This window comes from Homo sapiens, chromosome 1 (assembly GCF_000001405.40).
Source record: "Homo sapiens chromosome 1, GRCh38.p14 Primary Assembly".
In the NCBI taxonomy this organism is placed as follows: Eukaryota; Metazoa; Chordata; class Mammalia; order Primates; family Hominidae; genus Homo; species Homo sapiens.
In genome coordinates, this window is record NC_000001.11 from 70,311,558 (window position 1) to 70,322,911 (window position 11,354).

The 11,354-nt window shown below is 35.6% G+C and overlaps 1 protein-coding gene across 12 annotated transcripts in view; it reads right to left on the reverse strand.

Moving 5' to 3' along the window:
* Positions 1-11,354, reverse strand: part of ANKRD13C (ankyrin repeat domain 13C) — a 95,724-nt gene that overhangs the window by 52,559 nt on the left and 31,811 nt on the right. For 11 of the 12 annotated variants that reach the window (XR_007064007.1, XM_047431282.1, XM_047431278.1 and 8 more), the window contains 2 exons: positions 3,924-4,009; positions 2,188-2,233 (listed from right to left, as the gene is read on the reverse strand). Coding sequence is in view for 10 of the 12 variants with exons in the window: in XM_047431282.1 (XP_047287238.1) it covers positions 2,188-2,233; positions 3,924-4,009 (132 nt within the window). In the remaining 2 variants the exon portion in view is untranslated. Of the gene's footprint in view, positions 1-2,187; positions 2,234-3,923; positions 4,010-11,354 lie in introns of those variants that run through there. The other variant, XM_047431283.1, reaches the window with a different exon arrangement.

The window sequence follows — 11,354 nt, forward strand, 5'->3', positions numbered from 1 at the left end:
TTGTGTGTGCATAGCTATGTACACAAACACTTTAGTAAGCACTGAAAAGCATTTGAAAGTAGTCATACGAAATGTTAACAATAGTCACCTCTGGGAAGTGGTAACAGGGAAACTTAAAAATACCTGATTAATTTTCTATAATGTTCAAAACTTTTACAGTGAATATTCTATTAAAAATAGATTAAAATCTTAGTAAACTGAGGATAATTTTAGTATTAAATAACTTGTATTAGTCAAAGCTAACTAAAAAGCATAATACAATTTTTAGAAATGTATACAGATGTTATAAAATCAATGTTTAAAATTTACACAAGCTGTAATGTACATAAGCTGGAGAGGAAGTCTGATTTGTATCTAAAAGCTCCAAATAAAGAAGGCAGTTTATCAAAAATATAATTTGTAGAAAATTATTACTTGTTGAAAAGAGGCCAGATTCTTTCTCAAGACAGTAGAAAACTACTATTTTTTCATACAGTAGAGAGAAATAAGTGCTAATGGACTTCAGATTTATGGCTGCGTTTACTTTTTCAGAAGAAATCAGAAGATGTAAGAGAATTAGAAGAAATAACAAGTATAATTGTTAATTAAAGTTTAAATCTGGTAACTTCCTAGGCATTTTACTGCTATATGGTATATTGTATAATCTATTTTCTTACTGACGAGTTGAAGCTGAATTTGCAAACCCAAGTGTATTGTGAGAATATCATAACTTCCTCAAGGTTAACAAATATCAGAATGTAATGTTTTAAATTAAGTTGCATTTATTGACCTCCCATAGACTAGGCCTAAAACTGTGAAATTTCTATTACTGTTTTTTTTTTTTTTTGAGACAGAGCCTTGCTCTGGAAATCCCACTACAAATTGCCTGGGAAGAGCAGTAGCAGCACTGGATGGGGCTAAGTACTGTAAGTAATCTCCATTTCACAGTCTAGAATTTGTTTTTAAATGTATAGAGAAAACTATAGAGCCACAGAATGTAGAACTGAAAAGAAACAGATTTGCTAGTTCAAAATTCCTATTCTACTGACTTTGAATTCTTTGCCCAAAGTTCCTCATTTGGTATAATATGCATACGTGCCTGGGCGACAGAGTGAGTGAGACTCTGTCTCCAAAAAAAAAAAAAAATTAATTTAGATGCTTCAACAAAAACTCACATAAGCTCATTATGTCTAAACCTTTAGAGATTACATTTTTTTAAATCTTTAAAAACAACAAAATTTAGTTGTTTAGTTAGTAAAATAAAGGTCACTAGAATCAAATTTCATATTTGGATATGAAAGTTTTCTCTCTAGTGGACTCATGTTTAAAATGAGGAGAAAAACCTTGTTAAGGTAAGTCAATAAATGACTGCAAAAAAATCTAGGGCAAAATTAGGATCTTTCGTAAGTCACTGGAATCAATGTTCAACCAAACAGTATGTAAAGAAAGTGGCTATAAAGTATGCAAGAGGCAAAATAACGGAAAGACAACAAAATATACATAAACAAAAAATGTTAACTAAATTCTCCACATTCAGAGATCTAAGTACTAGATTTCAAACGTCCTTAAATTCAGTAGTCCCATAATCCCATAATTAATTTTCTTTTCTGAAAACTCCTTGCATTCTATTATTAAATTTTAAATGCTGTTTGTAAAACAAAATTTTTAAAACTAAAAGTGCCATTTTCAACCTTAAAAATATAAACTATTGGCCAGATGTGGTGGCTCACTTCTGTAATCCCAGCACTTTGAGAGGCCGAGGTAGGAGGATCGCTTGAGCCCAGGTGTTCTAGACCAGCCTGGGAAACACAGTGAGATTCCATCTCTACAAAAAATAAAAATAATTAGCCAGGTGTGACGGCATGTGCCTGTGGTCCTAGCTACTCAGGAGGCTGAGCGGGGAGGACTGCCTGAGCCCAGGGGTTCGAGGCTGTAGTAAGCTATGATCGTACCACTGCACTCCAGCCTGGGCAACAGTGAGAACTTGTCTCAAAAAAAAAAAAAAAAAGATTTATTAAAGTTACTAATCAAGTTGGAATAACTAAATATTATAGGGCTTTATAACGATTACAGTCAATGTCATGAAAAATACTTTTCCTCACAGCAAGTATTAAATTTGTTATCCTAACATTTCTATATGATAGGTATTTTTGTACTTGCATTTCTGCATAAGTACATATTTTATACTAAAACATAGCATACTCTTACCCCAGCTTTGAAAATCCCAGTGAAGTTCTAGATAAAAGTCACCTAGCTGAAAAATGAAATATGAATAATTACTAAATGCACCTTAGTTAAAAGTTCTTATGCTTTAAAAATATGGCTATTCCTTAAAACATTATAATACATGCATTACTATACTTAATTACAAAGGAAAATATGCACCTGTATATTTTATAATATTTTAATTACATAGTAACATATCTGAAACTGATAAGCATTTAAATTTGTATCAATAAATATTACACTTCCCAGTATAAACAAAATAACAATAATAATAAATATTATTTTTTAAATAGTTAACTTTAGAAGTGTTATTAAAAATTACTACCAAAATGATTATTTGTATAACCTCATAATGGCATTTAAAAAATGGCCCATTGTAATAGAAAATATTTTTCTGTAAAGGGATAATACAAGTTTATTAAATCTGAAACATGTCATCATATAATATCTATGAAAAAAAAATTTTTTTTTTTTGAGATGCAGTCTCACTCCATCGCCCAGGTTGGAGTGTAGTGGCATGATCTCAGCTCACTGCAACCTCTGCCTCCTGGGTTCAAGCAATTCTCCTATCCCAGCCTCCCAAGTAGCTGGGACTACAGGCGCCTGCCACCATGCCTGGCTAATTTTTTTTTTTTAATTTTTAGTACAGATGGAGTTTCACCTTTTTGGTCAGGCTAGTCTCGAACTCCTGACCTCAGGTGATCCACCCGCTTCGGCCTCCCAAAGTGCTGGGATTACAGGCGTGAGTCACCATGCCTGGCCGAAAAAAAATTTTATTTTGCAAATTAGAAGCTAGACACCAAAGATTATAACTGTTAAGAGTATATATTCTAAATATAAGTAGAGCATTACATATATAGCAACATCAACAAGTTAGTCTTTCTTTTTCAAAAAGTGATAAAAGTGAATGTTAATAGTAGATATCATTGCAATATGAGTAAAACATTTTTCTGGCTTTTTCTATATTTCTTAAGATCTAAAAAAAAAAAAAAGCACCATTAACAGAGACAAGCTATCATCATAATCATCATGACAGGTCTATCTTTCTCCCACAGTTCTTTCAGGCAGCAGAAATACAGAGAAGAGAGTAACAATAGAAAACAAACCACTCTCTTTTGTGTGCCAGCATACCCAGCTCTTACCACAAGGAGGTAGGACAGATAAAAAGAGTTTTTGTTACATAAAGAATATACAGGCCGGGCACGGTGGCTCACGCCTATAATCCCAGCACTCTAGGAGGCTGAGGCAGGCGGATTGCTTGAGCTCAGGAGTTTGATACCAGCCTGGGTAATATGGTGAAACCCCATCTCTACTAAAAATACAAAAAATTAGCTGGGCGACAGAGTGAGGCGCTGTCTCCAAAACAAACAAACAAAAAAAACTGCCACTTCTAGTAGCAATGGCTTTAGCTATAGAGAATCTTCTAATTCAAAGGCAAAGGAAAATTATTGCCATTAACTGTGACTTACCTCCTTTTTTTTTCTTTAGAGCTCTTATCTAATTTATTGAAAGTAATAAATCTTTATCTTCCTAGTTCAAACTGAGGTGCTTCTACTAAGATCACATTCATACACTAATTATTGCTTAATTTAAGCATGATTTTTACCATTTTTTGGCCCCTAATAAGTGAGAATTTAAGTTGTATTAAGAAAAAAATGCTTAAAACTACACTTATAATTACTTCCAAGGTGCAAAATTAACAAAGAAATATAGCTTACCTCTTTCAGGGCTTTTAATAATCGAGGTCGTTTTTCTTCAACACTTTCCCTGGATTGCTGCTTAAGCTTCCTCAAAAGAGCTGTAACTAAAGTTTAAATTTTAAAAATAACTAATTTAAATTTTCATCATGCAGTAAAAACACCACTGGCTTATTATACATATAGATAGATAATACATGTACACATATATGCACGTGCATGTATGTGTGTATGTGTATGTGTGTATCTACATCTACAATATATTTTGAAAGGCCAAAAATCAAAGAGCAATGTTTAAATTACTGAAGGCCTCTTGGAACAGTAAAAGAAGCTGAGACATAGAAGTCAGAGAACATGGGACCTATATAGATAGAATAAGTTAGTAAGTAAGTTTAATAAAACTGGTATGATCCCCAAAGAATAATGAGAAGAGATATTTCAACATCAACCTATACCATATTCACACTAGCTTTTACTAGTTTTTTAATTATCAGTAACGATTTACCTAACTGTGCCAAGATAACCAAACTCATTCAAATGATGCAATGTCCTAATAGAACACTGACCTCAAGGAAGATCTCAAAAACAACAGATCTCAAAAATCCCACTGGAAGCCACTTTTCTAAAAACATATAATTACCTGCAATTGTTACCAGGTGTTATCTGTTCTTTTACCACTGGAGGATATACCTTCACATACTACCAGCACAGTATAAAAAATACAAAAATGAATCTTATTGTACATGGAAAAAGAACTTCTGAATCTAAGAAAACCTAAAGGTCCTCCATAGTGTATTTTCAGTTACTGAGATTTAAGCACATTGCTGAAGTTCAAACCCCAGCTTTACCACTTAGTGGTTGTGGGTAAACTTGGACAAGTTACTACTTAATTTCTCTAAACTTCCTTTTTTTTTCCTCTCCTTTGTCAAGTAAGAATAGAAGTAAGGGCACAGTGGTCTGCACCTGTAGTCCCAGCTACTCAGGAGGTTAAGGTGAGAGGATCACTTGAGCTCAGGAGTTCGAGACCAGCCTGGGAAACATAGTAAGACCCCATCTCTATTAAAAAAAAAAAAAAAAATTAGCCAGGGCTTGATGGTGTGTACCTGTGGTCCTAGCTACTTGGGAGGCTGAGACAGGAGGACTGGTTGTGCCCAAGAGTTTGAGGCTGCAGTGAGCTATGACCACTGCACTCCAGCCTGGGTGACAGAGCAAGACACTGTGCCTGTAATTAACTAAATACAATTTTTATCTATTAGAATGAAGGTCTAAAATTCACTGGCAAAATCAATCAATTAATCCTTAATATTTACCAAAATAAGAAAAAATATTAGACTTGAATGAAATAAGCATAGGAAAAAATAAGAACATGGAAAAATGTGCATCGGGGAAAATATATACATATATACACGCTAGTTTCCTCCTGATTCTAACACATTTTTCATATACATACATATACATATGCGTTCTGAGGGCTTTTTAAAAATCAGTAAATTATTTTTACTATTTCACAGCATGCATTCTTATAAACCACTTCAAGTCCCATGTGGAACGCAGAAGCAGAAGGCGAATAAAAAAAGAAGGTAGTGAAAGCTTGGACTAGATTTTTTTTTTTTGTCCACATAGGTCCAAAATTAGGAAAAATCTAGGGAAGCATGTAAAAATAGTAGGAGCTATTCTTATTTTTAACCACAGGTCTAACTAAATTCCAATATATTTTAAAAAGCCAAAAATCAAAGAACAATGCTTAAATTACTGAAGGTGTCTCAAAATAATCAAAACTGAGACACAGAAATCGGAATGCAGGACCTAGTTTCAGTTCTACCATTTACTAGCTCGGTGACCTAAATCAATAATTCCCAAATACGAACCTACATTTCTGTGCCCAATTGTTTGAGTTTCCAATGATATACAGAAAATGAGAAAAAATGTGTACTAGAATGAGTTTTTTCTTAATAAATTTTTTTAAAGACTATTCTTCCTACTTTTGGTTTCAAATATCTTTTTTTTAAAAATAAAATGTGGATCACAAAAGACAGTAGTTATCGTTTTTATAAAGTTCTGATAGTCTAAGATGAAAAAGTTAGATTCCCTATATCAATCACCAGTAAAAAAAATTTTTCTGGTCTGTGAAATCCAAAAAGTCTGAGAATCAATGACTTAGATAATCATTTAAAGATTCAAGTATGAATCTGACAAACCTTCCTGTTCATTATAATTTAACTTTAATGTCAAAGTTATATTACTCAAATGTAGTACAATTCTTTTTAATGGTCATTGTTTTCTACTATAAGCTCAAGTACCTTAATAAATCTTATTCAATCTACCTTGCCTTCAGATTGAAATGGACCTCAGTTGAATGCAGAGAATGAAAAGAATTCAATTCCTAGATAAAAAGGGTCTTTCAATAAAAAGCAGAGGCTACATATTTTTTTATCAGCCTGATTTTATTAACTAAATATAATTGTAACTGACTGAAGGCATTCAGTAAATAATGACCAAACATCATTTAAAAAGCTGAAGGCATTCAATAAATAACGACCAAACATCATTAAAAAGGTAATGGCAACCACTGTATATAGCACAGTATAATAACATATGCGAAGAGATTCCCTTTTCTATATGACTTCATATTGAAAAATACCATAAACTCAAACTTCTTATGGATGCACATTCAGAAAGCAATTACACAAAATTACCAATTACCAGTATCCTTTTTAGGGATCAGTATTTGTATTCCCATATTGTAAGAATTTTATTAATACTGATTAACAATGAAGATTAAAATTAGCTTTAGAGGATTTAGGTGATAAAAGAATTCATACAAAGACTCAAATGCAAAAGTCCATAAACCACAACTAATTTTACTTTCTCCTTCCTCCTTCTCCGACTGAAGTTTACAGTTTGACCTAAAGCTTTTGGAACTATGCCCTACTGCTCCAAGTATTACTTAAATCTGTTACCTTTTGCACTCCTCTTCCTTCTAAGCTCCAATCTATTTCCTGCTTCCCACCTGGACAATTCTACCTGATGTACTACAGTTGATTCAAACCCAACAAATCTAACACAAATTAAAGACCATACTGCTCTTGCTCCTATAGTCTATATATCAATTAAGTAATGAAATCACCATCAATCCATAATAGAGACCTTAGAGTTACTCTGAATCATTTTATCATTACCCATATCCAAGAGATAATCCATTCTGTTAAATCAATCTTTGTTTTTTTTTTTTTTTTTTTTTTGAGACGGAGTCTCGCTCTGTCGCCAGGCTGGAATGCAGCGGCGCAATCTTGGCTCACTGCAACCTCTGCCTCTTGGGTTCAAGCTATTCTCCTGCCTCAGTCTCCAGAGTAGCTGGGACTACAGGTGTGCGCCACCATGCCCAGCTAATTTTTGTATTTTTAGTAGAAACAGGGTTTCACCATGTTGGCCAGGATGGTCTCGATCTCTTGACATCATGATCCACCTGCCTCAGCCTCCCAAAGTTCTGGGATTGCAGGCATGAGCCACCACGCCCGGCTAAACCTTTCTTTTAATTACTTTCTGATCTATCCCTTCCTTCTCTAAAAACACTATGTCTTTAAGTCAAGCTTACCTCATTTGTTCCAAAAATGTTTTGTTCTAAATATCTCTTGCCTCCCTGACTCCGCTGTATTAATTAGAAAGTCTTTTCACTTATCTAATAATAACAAGCCCTGCTTTGAAGTCTTCTGGGGTTTTGCAGAGACTGGAAATTGGGATTAAAATCTTGACTAGCACATAAAGCTGATATCAATGTGGTCCTTTTATCATTACAACTTCATTTCCCAACACTGGTCTTTGCCCCTTCATCCATCTTTGCCATGTATCATTAAGAAGCCAAATACAGGGGCACGGTGGCTCACACCTGTAATCTCAGCACTTTGGGAGGCCGAGCCGGGTGGATTGCCTGAGGTCAGGAGTTCAAGACCAGCCTGGCCAACATAGTGAAACCCCGTCTCTACTAAAAATACAAAAAATTAGCTGGGTGTGGTGGCGGGTGCCTGTAATCTCAGCTACTCGGGAGACTGGGGCAGGAGAATTGCTTGAATCTGAGAGGCGGAGGCTGCAGAGAGCCAAGATCGCGCCATTGCATTCCAGCCTGAGCAACAAGAGGGAAACTCCATCTCAAAAAAAAAAAGAAACCAAATACATATTGTTCCCTAGCATATGCCTTTTTTTTTTTTTAATATTTCCATGCTTTATACACATTCCACTCTCGCACAGTAGAATGCCTTTACCCACCTTTTTAACTTCTAAAACCCTTTGAGACAGCTTTAATAACCAAACACCTTGCTAAGAACCTGAATAACTTTTCCACTCATCTGTTTCCCCCAGGACTTTGTAAATACTTCAGAATGCCACAGAATATTCACTGGTCTCTCTCCCTTAAGTAGGATGACTTCCTCAATATCAAAGTTAATGGCACATCCTGACTATGTTTCTGACACATCTAGTAGGTATTCAGAACACAAATAGACAATTCCTGGCCTCATACACTCTGCCTAAAGGGAATGGGCAGAGTTCTGAGACAATATATGAGCAGAGAAAACTTCCTTGTACTTGAGCTGAGATCTGAAGAATCTTAAGGAGCTGTGACAAAAAGAGGGGGATATATAAGTATGAGGAGTATGAGAAACCAAAAAGCCAGCAGAGCTGACACATAGAAAGCCAGATGGAAAGAACAAGATGAGGAAGGAGACAAGGAAGTGATAGTATCATACTGGACCTTATAAACAAAGTTAGCAATTTTGGTCTTTGTCCTCAGAACAGGAGGTTTTAAAGAATTTTATGTAGAGAATAATATGACCAGAAGACGAAACTAAAATATAACAAAATATTAACAGTGGTTGTCTTTTTTTTTTTCTTGAGACAGGGTCTCACTTTGTCCCAGGCTCCAGGCTGGAGTGCAGTGGCACAATGTCAGCTCACCACAGCCTCAGCCTCCCAGGCTCAAGTGGATCCTCCCATCTCAGCTCCCAAGTAGCTGGGGCCACATACGCACATCACCATGCCTGGCTAATTTTTGTATTTTTTTGTAGAGACAGGTTTTTGCCATGCTGCTTAGGCTGGTCTTGAACTCCCAGGCTCAAGCGACCCACCTGTCTCGGCCTCCCAAAGTGCTGGGATTATAGGCATGCCCCACCACACCTGACCCAACAGTGGTTATCTTTGAGTGATATTATTTTCTTTTCTTTTCCCTATAATTCCTAATTTTCTACGATGAATGTCATCATTTTCTTATAAGAAAAAACAAAGTTTTGAAAACTCAGGAGAGTTGTGATAAATAAAAGTCCTACTATAATACTTTACTTTTTTCTTTTTTTTTTTAGACAGGGTCTCACTCTGTCACCCAGGTTGGAGTGCAGTGGCGTGATCTCAGCTCACTGCTACCTCCACCTCCCAGGGTCAAGCAATCCTCCCACCTCAGGCTCCCGCGTAGCTGGGACTACAGGCACACACTACCACACCAGCTAATTTTTGTACTTTTTGTAGTGTTGGGGTCCCCCTATGTTTCCCAGGCTCAAGCAATCTGCCTGCTTTGGCCTCCCAAAGCGCTGGGGTTACTGGCATCTAATATAATACTTTAAAGAAAAATTTTGATTCTTGATACACAGTCTCGAATTTTCTTTGTAGTTTTTATTCATCTCTTCATTAATTCATTAAACAAATATTGTACCAGAGATAAAGGGGTGAATAAGATAACATATGCATGACTTGAAGTCTCACAAAGCTTATATTATCAAGATACACAGAGTAGGGAACACATACTGAAAAATTAATTAGAAGTATGCAACATATTGCAAAGGAAAAGACTAAACCACTTTGAAAATGTACAAGAAGAAGAACTTAACCTACTCTAGAAGTTGAGAAAAGCCTTCTCTCAAAAAGAAATTTAAAATTGAAGGCTAAATGAAGACTTCTAGTTCAATGTAAGATGGCAAACCAATATGAACTGCTGTCTCTTCCTCCACATTAACACCTTTGATGTGCCACAAAAATAAGACAAAGGCCGACAGAATTCCCAAAACTACCATAACACAAGTATACCATGACATAAGTCTGCACAAACTGTGAACAACTTCTGGAGAGACAAAAGACAACTAGATCCCAGAGTGCATAAAGAAACCAGAGCTGTCTCGATCAGAGAAAGCTAGGAACCATGGGTGAGGGATAAATTGTGGGAAAAAAAGGCTTTTTAGTTGTATCCATATCTCTATCTCATACTGGTCTGGGCTGATCACTGTTTACCAGGTAACCACTGTAAGGCAGAAAAGCAACATAATCTTGAAATTTTATTATTAATTAGTGAAATGATTCTAAACAGTCTCTGACAAGTAGTTTGCATTGTCTGTTTTGTGGTACAAGAATGTTAGCAAAATTATCAGAAATCAGAAGAAATGGACACAAAAATAGGTCACAAAGTTTTTGCCAGTAATTAATAATATTAGATTATCTCTGATTTTTCAAAAAACATAAAATGTTAATGTAACACAAGCCAAAAAATCAAAAACTTAAATCACAGTGCTTAAGATAATTTCAAAGTACAGACATAGCCGGGCATGGTGGCTCACGCCTGTAATCCCAGCACTTTGGGAGGCCGAGGCAAGTAGATTACCTGAGGTCAGGAATTCGAGACCAGCCTGGCCAACATGGTGAAACCCCATCTCTACTAAAAATACAAAAATTAGTTGGGCACTGTGGCAGGTGCCTGTAGTCCCAGCTACTCAGGAGAACCGCTTGAACTCGGTCTCAAAAAAAATAAATAAATAAAAATAAGTACAGACATATGTTTAACACCATTATACATTTATATTAATATTTCTAATAAACCGTAAGAGATATTCAATTAATTATCCTTTAAGTTAGCAGTTAAGTATTTGTTTCATGTGATGGAAAGTAATGAAAATATAAGCACCGAGCAATTATGGTTATATAATTACATAATAATGGACAATGGGATATTATTTAGAATGGCTAAGGTATCACTCTACATAAGAAAATCACTTTAAGAACAGACCTCAACTATCTGAGCCTCAATCTTTTACCTTTAAATTGATTGTTAAATATCCTTTAACTAATTTTCCATGAAAATTTTGTTTATTGGCCTTCCCAATAATTATGAATTCTTAAACAGAAGAGACCAGGTCTTTTATTCTCCACATCTTAATACACACACATGCTTTATAGTAAGGACTCAGTAAATACTGACTCTGAGTAAAGAATCCTTGAGGCCGGGCGCAGTGGCTCACACCTGTAACCCCAGCATTTTGGGAGGCCGAGGCTGGTGGATCACCTGACGTCAGGAGTTCAAAACCAGCTTGACCAACGTGGAGAAACCCCAACTATACTAAAACTACAAGATTAGCCGGGCATGGTGATGTATGCCTGTAATCCCAGCTACTTGGGAGGCTGGGGCAGGAGAATTGCTTC